Below are 19,842 nucleotides of genomic sequence, written 5' to 3' on the forward strand. Positions count from 1 at the left end.
AAGAGGCTTCCGTTTCAAATACAAACTCTCTCATCAGTCACAGGAAATTAAATGCCTTTTGAAAGGGAGCTAGGCATAGGAGGAATTCACTTTCTTCCACCTACACACTGTTGGCAGCTCCTCAGAGGGAAGGACGGAGCCTGCCATTCTGCGGAGCGTCACCTGGTTCTTACCCACGACTTCACCGTGAGTGTGGAGTCCACAGGACTCCAGAGCTCTGTGGCCTGACTGCAGGGCAGTCTGCTCCCAAAGAGACTTGGGGAGAACATGGCTAACTCAACAGAATACAGAATAACACCGGAGAGGGGCACCAAGAGAGTGGTGATCACATAATTGAGACCTAGTCAGACCCAGTAACAACTTACCGTGTCCGCGAGGAACCATTCATGCAGAGAGGCCTCCCCATTTTCTGCCTTAAACTCATTTTATATACGTGGGGAATTGAGACTCCAAGATTACGAACATTTTCAAGATCCTCTGGCTAGTAGGTGATTTAGCTTAGAGTCAAATCTAGATTTGAACAACTCCATAATCATCATAATAAACAATAACGACACTACCTACATGAACTGAGCAATGGCTAAGTAGTAAGCATGTGCCGAACCCTTTACGTGAGTCAACTTAGTTGATCCTCAGATAATCCTGCGGCAGAGTGATTGTTCCAGCCACAGATGAGGAAACGCAGAGCCTTCCAGGTGTTATAACTCTTTTCTCACGCCTCTCTTACAATCCTCAGGAAATGTCGCCCCCCCCCCCCCCCGACCCCCCGCCAGCCCCCGACCGCCCGGAACTAAGCCACAGCCACCTCCTGCCCTGGTTGCTGCAATAGTCTAATCTCTCCTGGAGTCTGCCCGGCCCCTCCTGAGCTTCGTCCCAGACAGCAGTCAGAGCAGGACTTCAGATGTTGTCAGTTCTGCTCTCACTCCCCGCCACTGCCCATTTCACTGGGAATGAGAGCCAGGGGTCCTCACCAGGCCTCCCCACTGCGTCCCTCTCTCCCCACAGTGTCTCCTGGAGCTGCATTGCTCTCTGGATGTGCCAGAACATGCCGTGGGCTTTCATCCTGCGTCACTCGACTGGGAATGCCCTGGGATCCTGCAGGTGCCCACCCAGCTGGCTCCCTCCGGGTCCCGTCTTTACTCAAATCGCACCTTCTCGATGAAGTTTACTCTGAAGTTCAACCTGCTCTTCCCATCCTCCCACCCCAGGCGCAGCAGATCCGCCTTAACTGGACTCCCCCGCTTTGCTTCCACGGCGCCTATGGAAATGCTCTGACACAGAGGTCAGCGAACCACTTTACAATCACATTTTACTGGGACACAGCCACACCTTTTGGTTCGTGTATTGTCTGTGGCCACTTTCACAGAATGACCAGTGGCCCTCAGAGCTAACAGACGCACTGCCTGGCCCTTTACTGAAAAGTGCGGCCACCTCTGCTCTAACATAACTGGAGAGCTTGATGACGGATTGGGCTTGTTTTTCTCGGTCTGTTTTCCCCCGAGGAGAGCGCACACACTGGGGGGCAGGAACTTTGTTTCTTTTGAGCACTGACGCCTCCCAGTGCCTAGAACAGGACCTGGCTCGTAGATGATGCCAGTTCATATTTGTTGAATAAATGTGTGAATGAGGCATATATTTGCTAAACAACTCACCCAAAGTCACTCCAGTGATAGGCCCATCAGCTCTCGGCATCCAAATTCAAACCCAGGCAGACCAACAGAGAGTAATAGCAACAGAGACCCGTTCTTACCAGTGACCCCCGACCAGCCTCATCCGCTGCTGCCTCGCAGGAGACAGTGTCCTATATTTGCTCATAAAAACCAGGCAGGGAAAAAGGCAAGCTACCAGCTTTTAATCTTATTAATATGGGCCAGAAAGGATGGTTCATGGTTCTGACCATAAGACAAAGTGCTTCAAGGCAAGGCTTGTATCAACCGTGCTACGGAGTTGATACACACCGAACTGTCACCCGTCCTCCTGCCCAGGGGCCTTGGCGTTTTGAAGACTCCCCCATCTAGACGTCCAGCAGATGCTGAGCACCCAGGAGAGAGGTCAGAATGCAGGATTTGCATTGAAAGCCACGTCTATTGGGGAAGCAGCTAAAGCTCTGGAATGAGGTACCAGAAAGAAGAAAGGAAGATGGAGGAAAGAACTCTGGAGGGAGATGGGGCCGAGGAAGGAGTAGGAGGTGTGGCTATGCTAGCTCATGCTCACCCCTCATTCAAGCTCCAGACCTGGGCCAAGAGCAAGAAGAGAGCTTGCTTGTGGGTCCAGAGTTTCTGATGGCAGCGGGTTTTTGATGGCCTGTAAAGTCATCTAACGGGCTTGGCGCAGTGGCTCACGCCTGTAATCCCAGCACTTTGGGAGGCCGAGGCTGCCAAATCACGAGGTCAAGAGATCAAGACCATTCTGGTCAACATGGTGAAACCCTGTCTCTACTAAAAATACAAAAATTAGCCGGGTGTGGTGGCGCCTGCCTGTAGTCGCAGCTACTCGGGAGGCTAAGGCAGCAGAATCACTTGAACCTGGGAGGCGGAGGTTGCAGTGAGCAGAGATGGCGTCACTGCACTCCAGCCTGGCAACAGAGCCAGACGCCGTTTCAAAAAAAAAAAAAAAAAGTCATCTAATGCCTCCAAGACCACACGCTATTGATTTAATCTCTGAATTAAAGGTCTCTGAATTAAAGTGTATAAATGTACCTTCTCCCATAACTCTGAGAATGGGGTTTGTGTCTTAGAAAAGAAAAAACTCACGGGGCTGGGGGTTACATCTATTGTTTCCTGTAATTGTCACAGCAGTACTCAATACACACATTTTCACAGGCAAGGAAACTCAGGTTAAATAACTTTCACAACACATTGGAAATTTAGGCTGCCAATTAGTCATCCCTCCGGCCCCCCTGGGTTTTAACCTCTAGACCTAGAGAACCAAATTAGATGAAAATACCAGCTTTTGTAAATCAACAGTGTCTAATAATCCCCCAAGGACAGGGCCCTAGGCAAAGCTGAGCTGGGGGAATGTAGACAGACCTCCTACTTTCCACTCCAAACCTAGACGCAGACTCAGTGGCCCACCCAGGGGCATGAGTAATGCTGGGAGCTGCAGGCTGGCTTCCCACGCTCCCTCCTGGGCCTGGCCCCCAGGCCTGGCTGACTCCATGGGGGGCCTGGCAGTATCACAGCGCAGGGCTCTCAGGCTGCCAGCAGAGCAGCTGTTGTGTTTTCAGCTGCTTATTCTCACTAAAACTTCTGATAAGGCCATCTGGAAAAGTATTACTGTATATTAATAAAAATATTTAAATAAAGTTACAGAATGGAGAGATTTACTTTGGAAGTATTAATATGTAATGAGTTAGACAGATAACGTGTTTGAAGCAGCCTCTGCCAATCTGTTTACTCCACGGAGAGAAGAAGAACAGGTGTGTCAAGCCAAACATCTTTCCTTGGCACTTGAACTGCCTTACTTGGAGCAGCTCTGACAAGCTTATTTTTGTGGTGGTGGTTGGGGGAACCCAGCATTTTTAGAGAAGAAAAGAGCAATCTTCACTCCAGAAAGTGAATCTGTCTATATTCATGTATCGGCCTTGACGTGGTTTGATTTTTCTTTTTAACTCCAGTGTTGGTTCTTTGCTCTTTGAAATCAAAACATTCTGTATTATTTCTGGGATTATACCCAGCAAAGTGAGAACAGGAGCTTCTTTTAGTAAATAAACGTGATCATCTTCCGCCAGTAGGTGTCACTGTTCATTTAGCACAAACCATACCCGAAAGGCAAGGCAATTACCTCGGCTAAAATAACAAGCATGTTTTCTGGAAATAAAATAACCAGTAAGTACTGGGAAAAAGATTATTTTCTTTCACAGGTGTCTCCAAATCAAAGCTGAAGTGTGAACAACAATTCACTCTTTCTATGGCCTCCCACATAGTATTTGCTTCTAGAGCTTTAGCACCATTGTAAGAATTCCTTCTAAACCATGTTTGTACCTCAGATCTAACTGCCTGACCCTATAAACATTTTGCGGTTGACTTTGCTTATAAAATGCATTGGCATTTTCACATACAGGCGGTGGAGTTTTCTAGCGTTCCAGCCTAAATCAGAAAACAATGTCTGGTGTTGCCTACACAGAAACAATCGTATATCATAGAAAATTAGAAGTGAGGCAGTAAAGCGAGTCTCTGAAAATACGTTGGATGTAAACACATCGTTTACATGAAGGACATGGAATTATAAGTTCACACAGTGACACACAAATATGTAAGGTCATTAGTGTTCACTAAATGCGTAGCTATGCAATGAAAATGGTGAGAATCCTTTACGAGCTAACGTGCTACACAGAGTTTGATGCTTCTTGTGCGTGATCTCACCTGTTCCCCCACTTATGTGACCATTTTACAATGAAGAAATGGATGTTTAAAGAGGACAGTGAGGTCCCTGCGCCACAGTGGTAGAAAGTGACCAACTAGCAGTCAACCAGGAGATTTTTGGCCCTAGAACCTGAGGTCCTAACCACAACACAGAGGGCCTTTCCTTTTTTCTTTTTTCTTCTTCTTTTTTTTTTTAAATGGAGTCTCGCTCTGTTGCCCAGGCTGGAGTGCAGTGGTGCCATCTTGGCTCACTGCAACCTCCACCTCCTGGGTTCAAGCAATTCCCCTGCCTCAGCCTCCTGAGTAGCTGGGATTACAGGTACACGCCACTGCGCCTGGCTAATTTTTGTATTTTTTTAAAAAACGGGGTTTCACCATGTTGACCAGGCTGGTCTCAAACTCCTGACCTCAAGTGATCTGCCCACCTCTGCCTCCCAAAGTGCTGGGATTACAGGCATGAACCACCACGCCCAGCCTCCTCTGACTTTTGTAAGGGAAATAATTAGATTCTGCTTGTGTTGAATAATTCTAGCCAGGCCGGAGTTCAGTTCTAGTCCTCCTACTTCCGACTGATAGTGGCTCTGAGTAGTTCACTTACCATCTCTGAATTTCCATTTATTTCACTGTGAAAGGGGGAAATTGGTACCTACTTGTGGGATTGCTGTAGAGATTCAAATACCGTGTTTAAGAAAGTTCCTAGCACTGCGCCTGGCACGTAAAAGGCACTTGTTTAAGAACTTGATAAGGCTGGGCGTGGTGGCTCACGCCTGTAATCCCAGCACTTTGGGAGGCTGAGGAGGGCGGATCACGAGGTCAAGAGATCAAGACCATCCTGGCTAACACGGTGAAACCCCGTCTCTACTAAAAATACAAAAAATTAGCTGGGTGTGGTAGCACGTGCCTGTAGTCCCAGCTACTTGAGAGGCTGAGACAGGAGAATTGCTTGAACCCAGGAGACAGAGGTTGCAGTGAGCCGAGATCATGCGCCGCTGCACTCCAGCCAGAGCGACAGAGCGAGACTATGTCTCAAAAAAAAAAAAAAAAAGAACTTGATAAAGTAAAAAACCCTGATTTTTGAAATAAATTAAGAGTAATGAATATGCAATAAAGCATTCTTTTCTGAAATGCGTTATGAGAGGTCAGGAGTTAGTCTTAAGCAGTTTTCAAAGGTGCAAGGGCTGGAGTGGCCTCAGTTTATCTGGATAAAATGACTATATATGAACAGAGATGCCAACTGTTGGTGCCAGGCATGGCTCATGGGCTTTTGGCATGATGAACAGTTTCCTTTATTTTCTTTTTTTTCTTTCTTTATTTATTTTTGAGACAGGATTCTGCTCTGTCACCCAGGCGGGAGTGCAATGGTACAATAACATCTCACTGCAGCCTCCACTTTCTGGGCTCGGTGATCCTCCCACCTCAGCGTCCTGAGCTGGGACCACAGGCACGCGCCACCATGCCTGGCTAATTTTTGTATTATTTGTAGAGAGAGGGTCTCCCTATGTTGCCCAGTCTGGTTTCAAACTTCTGGGCTCCAGTGATTTCCCCCCCACATCAGCCTCAGTTTTCTTTACTTTTTAAAAATTAAGATCCTGATTTTACAAATGAAGAAAGCTCAAAGATGAAGTTACATGTCCAAGGTCACATAGCTGAAGAGAGAATTTGCCGGGCTGCTGGATCTTGTTTTTTCCATTTGCCGTACTAAATCATGTGCTACAATATTTGTGGTTTTCCTCAACTCCACAGAGCTTGCTTCTCTGAAATTCCTATTCCTTGCTAACCCCTAATTTTGTATGTGAACCATTGGAGACAGGGAGCACAAAAGGACAGCAAGAGAGAAAGCAATAAACTAAGTAGAGAAAGGAAGGATCCTCCTGGTCCTTATGCCTTTGAGTGATGATGTAAGAAAATCATGTGAAGTTCACCTGGGTGAGCCTTTACCCTCCAGGCACTCGAGGGCCCATACCCCACACCAGGAGAGTTGAGGCATTCCTCATCTTGATTTTGAATTGATGCTTGAGTGGGGGTACTTAAGTATTAATTGAAACGTGCTGAATTCCCAACATAAATGGAAATTCTCAGGTGACTTTGAATGGCAAAAATCAGTCCTTTCTAGACAATTAATGAGTAGATATAGAATTTCCATCCAAAAGTTGTAGAAAAGTGGTTAGAAGGGAGTTGGGTATTTGGCAGTTAGGCCTGGAGTTTACTTTCTGGGTCAGAACCAATGTCCTGAGTTCATGCAGAAATCACATTTGATCTTCACTAAAAATTAAGCAGGACCAGCATGAGGGTGGATAGAGAGTATGTTGTATCTTCTGTAGTTACAGCATAACTTCCTTTCCCCATGTAGCATTAACGGGGGAATGGAGGGGACTCCGGAGATCACAGGAAGAGTTTGTTCAGATAGAGACGTTTACCCCTTGAACTGTTTCCAACCCTGGCTGTTGTATATTATTCTAAAGAGACTACATTAGATATTTAGGGAAAAATTAAGGATAGTATAAAGTTAGCATAAGAAGAACTTTTGTGCAGGGTCTACACAGAAGAAATCACATGAAGAGTTTAAAAAGTATTTTTTAAAAAGTTAAAATTTTGAAATACGTTCTTGAAATTCTGGATTCAGTATAGTCAGAGATTTACTATCAGTGGTGTTGAAGAAATTCTTGGTATATTCTTCAGCAACAGAGTGGCTATGATAATGGAAAAAGGTTAGAATTTAGTGAATTTCAGAAGTAAAGAATTTTGATAGAAAAGAACAACTGAAGTTCTTTGGATTTCTATGTAGCATTTCTGTTTAACGAGTTATCATTATAGAAACATAATCTAGTAAAGGAAAATATTTTTCAAGTTTTACTCCAAGAAATCATTTGAGATAACTGTGGCAGGATCCACATAAAACTTATTAGCCAAGGATTCTACTTAGTTCCAGTTGAAAGTAAAACAGTAATAACCCAAAATAACCGACTAAGGAAACACAAATAAAATCTTTTTTTTTTTTTTTTTTTGAGATGGAGTCTCACTCTGTTGCCCACGCTGGAGTGCAGTGGCATGATCTCGGCTCACTGCAACCTCTGCCTTCTGAGTTCAAGTGGTTCTCCTGCTTCAGCCTCCCAAGCAGCTGGGACTACAGGCACCCACCACCACACCCAGCTACTTTTCGTATTTTTAGCAGAGATGGGGTTTCACCATGTTAGTCAGGCTGGTCTTGAACTCCTGACCTCAAGTGATCCACCTGCCTCGGCCTCCCAAAGTGCTGGGATTACAGGCATGAGCCACTGTGCCTGGCCAGACAACACAAATAAAATCTTGAGAAAATTAACTTTACACCTATCTCCTCTCTTTCTTTGACTAACGCCTATATTCTCATAGATGCTCTGTTTATGCTTCATTTTCTTGTTTCTTTTTTATTCCCCCTTTCTCTGCTGAAAGAATTATGAAGAAGGAAGAAAATTTGAAAGGAATAGAGGAAAATAGGAAGGAAAAATAGAGGAAAAAAGGAAGAAGGAAGGAAGAAAGGAAGGCAGGCAGGCAGGGAGCAAGGAAGGAAGAGAGAAAAAGGAAAAAATGCCCCAGAGGCAAATGACATATTTTCAAAGCTACTTCTTCTAGGCTGGTAATTTCCCAGTGCCCTGACCTTGCATTCCAGACTTCAATAAATAAACGGGGATGATGCCAATGATCGAGACGCCAACAGCAGCCCTTTTCTAGGGCTGACATCGACTGCCACATCACTCACAGCATGTGGACCAAAATATGAGACAAGCTGGGCATGCATTCAGACATTTTATTTGTGTCTTTTAGAAAGCATTTATATTTCCTATAAATCCATTTACATGTCAGTATCGTAGTGAGAAATGCACGCACTATGAGAAGGCCTTGAAACATCAGGAGCTGCAGCACTCTTAGAGCAGACTTGACAGCTGCACTGGGTGTGAGATATCAGCATCTTTAATGTATGCCAGCCTTGCATGGGTTTGGTTGGGACGTCCTCATCTGAGAAGACGTGGCCCCCAAATGAATAGGGAGGCACTCACGTTAATTTTTCTCAACTAGTATCTGAAGGGTTGTCATGCTCTCTCTGCTTTCTAATGTACATAGAGGTGTCTACATGCAAACGGATAGCAGCTGAGACACGCTGTGTAACTTGCAGCTTACATGTAAATAATTCGGAGGTGAGTACTGCGATGCAGTTACACGTCGTAACCACCTGAATTTTATGGGGGAACCTTCTGCACGTATTCATGCATGAAGAACACACATTTGAACAGGGGCATAGGCAGTGTTTGTCAAGCTCTGGAATGTGGATGACAAAGGACATCTTAAAATTCCTTGATTTGGGGCCAATGACAAGCAAGACATTTACAGATTTAGATGACTTGTCAATCCCAAGCTGGAATTCATAAAATTGGCTGGTCTGTTTAAAGCTGCCTCTTTCTGGAAGCTTCCTCTGCACACTCTAGCTACAGCAGGGCCTTACCATGGCTCATTGTCCCACCAGTCCCTTCCACTGCTCTTGTTCCTGGTCTCATAGGCTACACACAACCACTATCATCTTTCTCCACCATTTGTCTAGAAGAGGGAGGGGACTCTGCCTAGGTCTCATCATTGTGTATGAATTGACAGAACAGTGCCCAGTTTACAGGCAGTGCTGAACACAGATCAGTTAAATGAATGAATATGATCTTTACTATTAGGTTTCTGGTGATTTTCTAAAGTCTACAGACAAGAAAAGCACTGGCCAATGAAGGTCAATGTCAAAGCACAAGGCTGGTATTGAGACTGGAGTACGGCATGTAGTGTTGAAGATAAATTGAGGCATATTAATATTAAAGAGTTGATTTGAGGCCAGCCATGGTGGCTCATGTCTGTAATCCCAGCACTTTCGGAGGCCAAGGTGGGTGGATCATTTGAGTCCAGGAGTTCAAGGCCAGCCTGGCCAACATGGCAAAACCGTGTCTCTACTAAAAATACAAAAATTAGCTAGGCATGATGGTGGGTGCCTGTAATCCCAGCTACTTGGGAGGCCATGGCAGGAGAATCACTTGAACCCAGGAGACAGTGGTTGCAGTGAGCCGAGATCATACCACTGCACTCTGGTCTGGGAGACAGAGGGAGATTCTGTCTCAAAAAAAAAAAAAAAAAAAAGAATTGATTTTGATTTGAGCAAACAGCAATCATGGGTGGGCCAGCTCTGGATCACAAGTGGTTCATGGCTCCACAGAAGGGGCAAAGAGGAAGGCTTTTATGGAGTGAACTCAGAAGCAAGGCAAAGAATTCATCCCAGTGGAAAGTCCCAAGTTAGGGCTTAGCTGGCTGTTTCAGATTGTCCTAGAACATGACCACTGAGTTGGGTTTCAGATTGCAGACACAGGAACTCAGGGCATTGGGGCCACCTTGGTCTAGCAGGCTTCCATTTAATTACTTTAACAGCAGGAACCACAGGACACCTCTAACTGTCCTTAAGAGTGTAATTATAGCTCTTTGGCCACTCCCTGTACTAAAAGGAGGAGTGGAGAATTTGGAGAGGATGTAGGCAAAACCACTGTGAGCAATCAAAGTATCAAAGGAATTAACTCATCTAGGAATGCATGTTCCTTATTCTGCAGTACCTGGAAGGGCTTTTGGTGTGTGACAGCAATGTGAAGCGTCTTTACATCTTAATTCTAAGAGACAGCAGCCACGATGTGGGAAGAACTTCCTAGTTAAATGTGCTCTGAAAAGTTGGACTGTACTGTCGAGGGAGACTATGGGAGTTTCTTTGTTCAGAAACACTTAAGAAAGTACTCATAGGCCCACATTAAGTAAGTGATGCCTACAGGTGTCTTCTGTTTCTGTGAATTGGTGTGGAGAACCCAATGTTTATTGAGTGCCTATGTGCTGAGTTAGGCATGACTCTCTTTCTCTGTCTCCTCTCTCTCACACACACTTACTTTAACATAGGAGGAAACTGCATCCTGAGAGGCTCATATAACTACTTTGACCCCACTAGTCTTGGAAGAGCTGAAACTCCCTCCTAGATTGAACTGTACAGCCCACCAGCTTTCTACTGACTCGTGTTAGAGAGCAGTGGGCAAAGAGTACAAACTGCATTGAGGTTCTCTACTCACAGCGTTGCCTTACAACACATCAAAAATGCACCTCCTGAAAGGTTATCGCTGCACCCATTGCAATCCTGATCTGAAAGTTCACAGTACTTGTTTGTCCTGTCTACCAGCAACCCTTCAGAAAGAGTCTCCATTGACTTATTTCAGAGGCAACAAAATGAGCTTCAGGGAGAGATGGTGTAGGTCCGTGGTCCGATTGGTGTCCAACGCTGGTCTCAAATGTCTCAGTTGTCCTTGTCTTTTGAGATCAGAATCCACAGATTTTCATTTCTGATGCACCAGATCAAGGACTAGTCCCCCTTGGCTACTCCCCAGTCAGACATGATAAAGGTGCCTCATCACCCACTGGAGAGGTGTCTTCAGGGGGAAGTCAAGATTACAACTAAGTATCTTTTGGGTCAAAATGTTTGTAAAGTATTATGAGGAGATGAATTTGTCCAAATACTCAAATTTTGTGCTTTGTAAAACACAGTAGGTTGTATAATATAGACGAGACGCCTTGCCACATCAGTAATTCCCCCCATATTCACACGGTGCCCCTGTTCCTTGGAAGACATGGTATTTTTTTAATAGCTCATGTTGGGCCCACAGGATTCCTGAAAAGTGCAGTGGTCTGTCCTGTCCTCCTTTTAGAGACTAATACCCAGCCTCAGTTCCAACACCGAGCAGGAGTGACAGTGGAGTGTTCCCACACTGGATGTTCAGGGGAATTAACAAAGATGAGTGATGGCCTCCCAAGTGGTTAAGGGGGTGCCTGTGTACAGCGTTGTAGGAGCAAAAAATGTGATGGGGTGACAAATTTAAAGGAAAACAAAAAGAGGAAGAGAGAAAAACGGAGATTTGTAAAAAGCAAGAGAGAAAATGAGATGTCCCACTGCCCCTGAATACCCAAAGGGGCGTGCTGAAGTACCTCAGGGATATGATTCTATGCTATTGTGATGGTTAATACTGAGTGTCAACTTGATTGGACTGAAGGATGCAAAGTATTGATCATGGGTATGTCTGTGAGGGTGTTGTCAAAGGAGATTAACATTTGAGTCAGTGGGCTGGGGAAGGCAGACCCACCCTTAATCTGAGTGGACACCATCTAATCAGCTGCCAGTGTAGCTAAAATATAAAGCAGGCAGAAAAACATGAAAAGACTAGACTGGCCTAGCCTCCCAGCCTACATCTTTCTCCTGTGCTGGATGCTTCCGGCCCTTGAACATCGAACTCCAAGTTCTTCAGTCTTGGGACTCAGACTGGCTCTCCTAGCTCCTCAGCTTGCAGATGGCCTATTGTGGGACCTTGTGATCATGTGAGTTAATACTACTTAATAAACTCCCCTTTACACACACACACACACACACACACACACACACCTCCTATTAGTTCTGTCCCTCTGGAGAACCCTAATATAGTTATTTATTTATTTATTTGTTGAGACAGAGTCTCGCTCTGTCACCCAGGCTGGAGTGCAGTGGCGCAATCTCGGCTCACTGCAAGCTCTGCCTCCCAGGTTCATGCCATTCTCCTGCCTCAGCCTTCCGAGTAGCTGGGACTACAGGCACCTGCCACCACGCCTGGCTAATTTTTTCGTATTTTTAGTAGAGATGGGGTTTCATCATGTTAGCCAGGATGGTCTCGATCTCCTGACCTTGTGATCTGCCCACCTCAGCCTCCCAAAGTGCTGGGATTACAGGCGTGAGCCACTACTCCTGGCCTACTTACTTATATTTTTGAGACAGGGTTTTACTCTGGTCCACCATGTGGGAGTGCAGTGGCGTGATCATAGCTCACTGCAGCCTCCACCTCTCCAGTTCAAGCAATCCTCCCACCTCAGCCTCCCTGGTAGCTGGGACTACTGATATGCACCACAACACTCAGCTAATTGTTTGTATTTTTAGACGAGACAGGATTTTGCCATGTTGCTCAGGCTGGTCTTGAACTCTTGGACTCAAGCCTTGGCCTCCCAAAATGCTGGGATATTACATGTTACTATTGGGCCCTAAACTAGTGCTTTATGCGAATCATCTTTTTTAATTCTCACAGCCACCCTAACTGGTAGGTACTATTATCATCCACATTTTTCAGAGGAGGAAACTGAGGCACACAAAAGTTGAATAACTTACTCAAGCCCACCAGCTCGTAAAAGACACAGCTGGGATTAGAACTCAGGTAGAACTGACCCAAGGATTTTCTATTTCCTTCCAGTTGCTGAAAAATCACTAAACTCATGAGGCAATTTCATAAGTCTATATCTTGTCTGGGTTGCTAGTAATTAGCAATCATTACATGAAATCTGACATGTGAAAGTGAAACACAATTGGAAGACGTTTTGTGACATGGATGTAAAGTATATATTTCTTGAGGGTAGAGTTGTTTCACTGCCACTGTGTTCTACATTTAGGCCTTTGCTGAGGTTGGAAGTATTCAAATAGATAGATAAAGTCACATCATAATCCCATGTATCAAGTGTCATGGAAGAGTACGCAATCAGGCTTTTGATGAATCCCACGTTTCACTTGCAATCTGCAGATTTCCATATGCTGTGGCTCAGCGATTTGCACTGGCTTCTCAAGCAAATCAGTCATGACTCCAGGCGTGACTCCAGACTGAAATCACTCTTGTCGATATACCTGAAAACAGAGGTTTCCAGCACTGGAGAGAAGCTTTGGTGCGGGGATGGGCTCAGAGGGTCCCGACAGAGGGTGACACTTGCATGGTTGCAGAAGGAAGCTCGCTGCAGTCTGAGTGTGTCTCCGTGGAGCTCGGCATTTGGACACAGCTCACACGCATGAGTGATGCTCTTCCACCTGCATCTTCTGGCACTTGCACTGTGGGGGCCTTCCTCAAAGCCGTGCGCCTCCATCTCAGGGCAACATAGGGCAACTTCTTTCTTCTACTCACATTCTGAATGAAATACATTAATAACTGGCTTAAAAGAATCCAATCCTTTATCAAAAGACTCCAGCATTTTTCCTTCCATTGACTGCTACCTGATATTGAGGAAGGTATAAGGTGTCAGATTCCTGCTGGGACTGGCAGAGAGGGGCAGAGGGAGGCAGGACGGGCTGCTGGGGTGGAGAGTGCAGACAGAAGCCTGCCATCCGCCGGAGTCTGTGAGCTTCAGGGTCCACACGAGCCTCATGGAGAGACAGGCGGCTGCTCCGTCCATCTTCGAACCTGGCTGGCATCGCAGATGCCCGTGCCCAGGGCAGCAGCCATAAAGGCCGTGGCACCTTCTTGCATCTCTAAGTGTGTGGCATTGTGGCTGCCTTTGATTGTTTGGCGGTTTGCTGTGTTCTCTGAGTGTTTTTCCACACATCTGAAGGGCGATTCTTTGTCAACTGCTACTGTCTTGCTAAAGAATCAGCAATTCACACATATAATAAAGCTCACAACCAAAAAAAGCACATTCACATTTTTTTTCTTTCATTTTTCTGCCTGAGTACCTCTACCTTGGAAAACCTCCATCTTGTCATATATGGGCAAGCATTCATGTATTTCAAGTCATGTTTTTGCAGGCAGATGACTGTGTAAGTCCTACATGGCCACCCTGCCAGTGTTTCAAGCAGGCCTCTATCATGTGCTGACCTATGGCTAGGGGTCCCTGGTTTCTCCCACCTTCTTCCTGATGGCCAGGCATACATTCCTGCCCTAAGACTGGAAGGCTGGCAGACCAGCTCAGGTCAGCTGGTTCAAGAAGGGGGAAAGTTTTGCTCATGTCCAAGAGATAACGTAAGATGTTCCTGAAGCTAAACTTCTCTTAGACAGGACACCTGCAGATGGCACCTTTGCTAACCTTGATTGTGCCTTGAGATATTCACCTTTCCTTCAGAGTGAATGCTCCTATCACCTATATCACACTTCATATGATGTAAGATACAATTTATATATTCTTGCTCATTTACTCATTTATTCATTTATAGATTTACCCAGCAAATACTGATCAAGTGCTGAGACATGCTAGGTGCTGGGCTAGGTGTGGAATACAATGGTAAACAAGATTGAGAAAGTTCCTGCCCTCAGGGAGCTTATAGTCAGTCATGGGCAAGTAAACAGGTCATTATAACACAGCAGTGCCCTAAGTGCTATTGCTCTATGTGTGGGAAAACAGGCAACCTGGGGAGCCATGGTTAAGAGGGACGGAGAAATAACACGAATGTGGTGAGGCAGGGTGGTATCCCCAGAGCTGAGACCTTGCAATGGCTAGGATGTTGCTAGAAGAAGGAAATGGAAGCAAGTTCCAGAGCTCAGAAAACATTCTGAGATGGAACTAGAAGAACCTGGATGTGAAGCGGGAGGGCCAGGGAGGCCACGGAGATGGCTGCTGGTTTCAGGTTTGGGCCACAAGTAGATCAATGAAGAAAGAGGAATCCAGAAGTTCCAGTCCGAGGGTGTGTGGGAGGAGGGTGAGTTTCAGAGTCATTAATGGGCCTTTTCTTCAGTAATTCAGAATACTCCTAAGTGAGTATGGCCACTTGGATACCTGGAAATATTCATGGCTCCAGGTAGCTACCAAGAGAAGACTTCATTTTAATTCTTGTCAGGAACTGTGAAGGATCCAAGATTTTGCTTTCTTTGCAAGCTAACAAGTTAGTCTGCTCAGTTTTACGGAGGCCAGGAGAAGACCAGAGGTTCCTGGGTCAGAGACAAAGGACCATGCATTATTTACAGCAATATCTTTTTTCCTGTGCTGGTTTCTCAAATCCCAGTTCTCACAGGGTGGTTTGAAATGGACCAGATGGCAGCTGCACATGGCATGGGTTGCATTACAGGTGTGAGGACCCTGACTTTAGGGAATCTGAGTCTTTTATAATGGGCCGTGAGCAGGACTGCCATTGTCAACAGAGGGAGACATTGTCTTTGTTATAAGCAAACTTCCCCTCTGCTGCGGAAAGAGACAGTATCTCTATCTTCCAAGGCTGTTCACTGTACGATTATTATTGTAACTATGTTATGAAACACAGGGCATTAATCCATCCATGAGGGTAGAGTCCTTAGGACCTAATCACTGCCTAAAGGTCCCACCTCTTAACACTATTACACTGACAATTGAAGTTCAACATGAGTTTTGGAGAGAACAGTGAAACCACAGCAGAATGATAGCAATTTTCACCAACTTCTGTTTAATTGCTTAACCTGTTCTCTCTTGGGATTGTCAGTAAATGCACTGCTCTTGGGGAAAAATGTGGTGAGAGCAAACACAGAGAGAATGGATAAGAAATACTGAATGGGCCGGGCGTGGTGGCTCACGCCTGTAATCCAAGCACTTTGGGGGGCCGAGGCGGGTGGATCACGAGGTCAGGAGATCAAGACCATCCTGGCTAACACAGTGAAACCCTGTCTCTACTAAAAATACAAAAAATTAGCCCGGCATAGTGGCGGGCGCCTGTAGTCCCAGCTACTCGGGAGGCTGAGGCAGGAGAATGGCGTGAACCTGGGAGGCGGAGCTTGCAGTGAGCCAAGATTGCGCCACTGCACTCCAGCCTGGGCAACACAGCCAGACTCCGTCTCAAAAAAAAAAAAAAAAAAAAAAAAGAAATACTGAATGCTGGCCAGGTGCGGTGGCTCATGCCTGTAATCCCAGCACTTTGGGAGGTCAAGGCAGGCGGATCACCTGAGGTCAGAAGTTCGAGACCAGCCTGGCCAACGTGGTGAAACCCTGTCTCTACTAAAACTACAAAAAAAATTAGCACGGCACAGTGGTGCATGCCTGTAAGCCCAGCTACTCAGGAGGTTGAGACAGGAGAATTGCTTGAACCTGGGGGGCGGAGGTTGAAACGAGTCGAGATCACTCCACTGCACTTCAGCCTGGGCAACAGAGCGAGACTCTGTCTCAAAAAAAAAAAAAAGAAATATTGACTGCTAAAATCTACGTTTTCCCATGTATTTAATGTGAGCAATTATGATTAGCTAATCTCAATGCTTATTTGTAGAGTATATCATTAACTGGAAAGAAATAAACCTTGAGCCACTGAAGAAATGGCTTTTTCTATAAATTAAATAGTCTTTCAAACATAACAAATGTTTTTAGGAACTACGAAATTTTTAAATTTAATACTAGATCAAATCAGCAGATAAACATTTTATGTGGTTCCTTTTAGATGTGGTACACATTATTTAACAAGGTAGTTAAAACCTGTTTTATTAAATCATATCATAAAATGTTTATTCCCAGTGCAATCAATACTCATATTTTATATTATAAAGTGTTTAATATTTTCCACCTCTTATTAACAACAAATTAAAATTGTTTGCTAGCTGCTGAGTCAGAATATTTTCTTTTCTTTCTTTCTTTCTTTTCTTTTCTTTTTCTTTTTCTTTTTTTTTGAGATGGAGTCTTGCTCCATTGCCCAGGCTGGAGTGCAATGGCGCGATCTTGGCTCACTGCAACCTCCGCCTCCCGGGTTCAAGAGATTCTCCTGGCTCAGCCTCCCGAGTAGCTGGGATTACAGGCGCCTGCCACCACACCCCGCTAATTTTTGTATTTTTAGTAGAGACAGGGTTTCACCATATTGGCCAGGCTGGTCTCAAACTCCTGACCTCAGGCAATCCACACCCGCCTTAGCCTCCCAAAGTGATGGGATTACAGGCGTGAGCCACTGCATCCGGCAATAATATTTTCTATCTATAGCTATATCTACGTTTAAGCTTTTCACTTTCTTGACAATGTTTGATCATGAATAAAGTTATTTCTCTTTATTACATGACTCTTACTTAATTATTCACAGATGCCAAACACTGGGGTGCATTTTAATGCATGCACACATGTGTACCCACCAAAGGACTCCAGGCTATCCTTGCTTCATAAATAACTGTAATTTCAGCAACACATAATATTCCTTTATTACAAATCAAGTACAAGAACAGATAGATTTATTTTAGTTTGTTAAACTTTGTGAAATGGTTAAATGAATATTCTATGTCATTCTGATCCTGACTGTTTTTCATAACTCATCTTGCAAGATAGATATCTACTTTTTAGTGACCCCCAACAATATTCCTTGGAACACATGTTAGCATATTTTTACATTAACAATATTCACTTCCTCTGATTTTTTTTTTTTTTTTTTTTTTTTGAGACGAAGTCTCACTCTTGTCATCCAGGCTGGAGTTTAATGGCGCCATCTTGGCTCACTGCAACCTCTGCCTCCCGGGTTCAAGCGATTCTCCTGCCTCAGCCTCCCAAGTAGCTGGGATTACAGGCGCCCGCCATCACCATGCCCAGCTAATTTTTTTTTTTTTTTTTTTTTGTATTTTTAGTAGAGATGGGGTTTCACCATGTTGGCCAGGCTGGTCTCTAACTCCTGACCTCCAGCAATCTGCCCACCTCGGCCTCCCAAAGTGCTGGGATTACAGACATGAGCCACTGCACCTAGCCTCTGATTTTAGCTATTGGTGTGAAGACTGAGTTTGTTAAATATTTTACCTTTTCTATAAATTAAATGACTCAGCAACTTCCATTTGGGTAAGAATATATTTAAAGCACATGACAAAAATATTTTATCAAGAGATGCTTTACTGGCAAAGGCGTATTGAAAATAACAATATTTAATATTTTTTCAACTCTTTCTGAATGTATTAAATGAAGGGTTTCTAAATGCACAAAATAAAAGGTACAATTAATAGTTATTCGTAAGATCCTCATAAAACCTTTATGGCATACTTCTAAAAAACTGAAAAGGTAAATCAGCGTGCCAATAATTTCATGGCAAAGGGCAAAAAATACTTTTGCTTCTAATTCTTTGTTCCTGAAGATTTTGAAAAATAAAAATATGTTTTGATGATAGACTATCATGTGATTTTGGCATATAACTGCAAATGACTTTTAAAAAATAGAATGATACTGCTAAAAGACTTCTTCCATTGCAATGTACCTATTTATATGAACAAAGTTATTTAGTGCTTACATTAATTAAAATGAAAAATGGAAGAAATTCATATTGAGGGCTGTCTGATTCCAGCTGTAAGCAGTATGCGTCCGCGGCATCTCAGTAAGTTGGATGTTCCCATTACCATTTCACTTTTTGTTTAACAAGTAGTCAACAAAACTTATAATGTATTTTTGTTGTTTGGATTAACTGTTTACTACTAATAATTAATTTTAATAACTCAAGTAGGAAAAAATGTTAACCTCAGAACCTCGTTTTTAATTCTAGAAATTAAAAATTAAAGGCTTTGTACATATTTTCATTACAGAAATATATACTGGATGACCAATAAAATATTTTCAAATATAAACACATGTTAGAGAATAAGAGAAGTGAAATGGACTACTAGGAGTATGAGGCCCGATATAAACTCCCTTTGATAAAGAAGAGCCCATTCATGTGTTTACAAAATGAATGATGTGGACCCTCTGGTGTACAGATTCTATTTCTGTCATTTAAAAGATTGCTGTCTCTCTTCTTTTATAAAATATTTGTCAGTATTAGGCTGAGCACTGTGGCTGTCACCTGTAATCCCAGCACTTTGGGAGGCCGAGGCAAGCAGATCACCTGAGGTCAGGAGTTCAAGACCCGCCTGGCCAACATGATGAAACCCCATCTCTGCTAAAAATACAAAAATTAGCCAGGCGTGGTGGCACACGTCTGTAATCCCAGCTACTCGGGAGGCTGAGAGAGGAGAATTATCTGAACCCGGGAGGCAGAGGTTGCAGTGAGTTGAGATCACGCCATTGCATTCCAGCCTGGGTGACAAGAGCGAAACTCCATTAAAAAAAAATTGTCAGTTTTTATAACACTCCAGGAGTTTCACTTTTTGCTACTACTTAAGCCTGGGTAAAATTTTATGATGGACTTAAACACTTGTGAGGAGGTACATTGTTTTCAAAATTTTGTATGTGGGGAATATATTATTAGGAAAACAGTTTGAAGACCACCACTCCATACCATTCCAATAGTAAGCATTCTATTCACTTGCTATTTTACTCAAGAGATTTTGCCAGTATGCTCTTGGAAGAGTTCAACATTGCCATAGATCATAGGGAAAATGATTACTTATTTCTGTGTCTGCTTAAAGTTTTCTGTGTGCTTTTTTCCTCTGCCATTATCCCAGGCTAACGTCTACGGTGCAGGGTGAGGGAGGGTGGCATCTGCCTGCCGGCTGTTGGGGAATTTCCCTAAGTTTCTGCTTTGCACCCAGACTCCGTCTTCATGAAGCCAGAGCCGCCCAAGCTTCAGGAACTGGACTCCGATTCCTCAGAACAACATCCTCTCCAAGGCTGGGGTGTGCGCTGACTTGTGTAGACACAAGACTATAATGCAGACCGTTTGAGAATCAACACACAATGGGGTCTTTATTTTCCTACTTGTGTAATCGCTGAGCAAGTCATATCATCTCCTGGAGCCTTAATTTTCTCATTTGTAAAATGAGGATTTACAAAGCAT

At 44.2% G+C, this 19,842-nt stretch overlaps 1 protein-coding gene across 6 annotated transcripts in view, besides 2 other annotated features; it reads right to left on the minus strand.

Moving 5' to 3' along the window:
• PRKN (parkin RBR E3 ubiquitin protein ligase) overlaps positions 1 to 19,842 on the minus strand; it is a 1,380,350-nt gene that overhangs the window by 67,431 nt on the left and 1,293,077 nt on the right. The gene's annotated exons all lie outside the window — the stretch shown is intronic.
• Positions 538 to 1,063: an enhancer, noted in NCBI's record as "H3K4me1 hESC enhancer chr6:161836417-161836942 (GRCh37/hg19 assembly coordinates)". NCBI's record gives its function as "activates a minimal SCP1, AML or CMV promoter by ChIP-STARR-seq in primed H9 embryonic stem cells {active_cell/tissue: H9 hESC(primed)}" and the evidence as "EXISTENCE:reporter gene assay evidence [ECO:0000049][PMID:30033119]".
• Positions 1,064 to 1,589: an enhancer, noted in NCBI's record as "H3K4me1 hESC enhancer chr6:161836943-161837468 (GRCh37/hg19 assembly coordinates)". NCBI's record gives its function as "activates a minimal SCP1, AML or CMV promoter by ChIP-STARR-seq in primed H9 embryonic stem cells {active_cell/tissue: H9 hESC(primed)}" and the evidence as "EXISTENCE:reporter gene assay evidence [ECO:0000049][PMID:30033119]".

This window comes from Homo sapiens, chromosome 6 (assembly GCF_000001405.40).
Source record: "Homo sapiens chromosome 6, GRCh38.p14 Primary Assembly".
Taxonomy (NCBI): domain Eukaryota; kingdom Metazoa; phylum Chordata; class Mammalia; order Primates; family Hominidae; genus Homo; species Homo sapiens.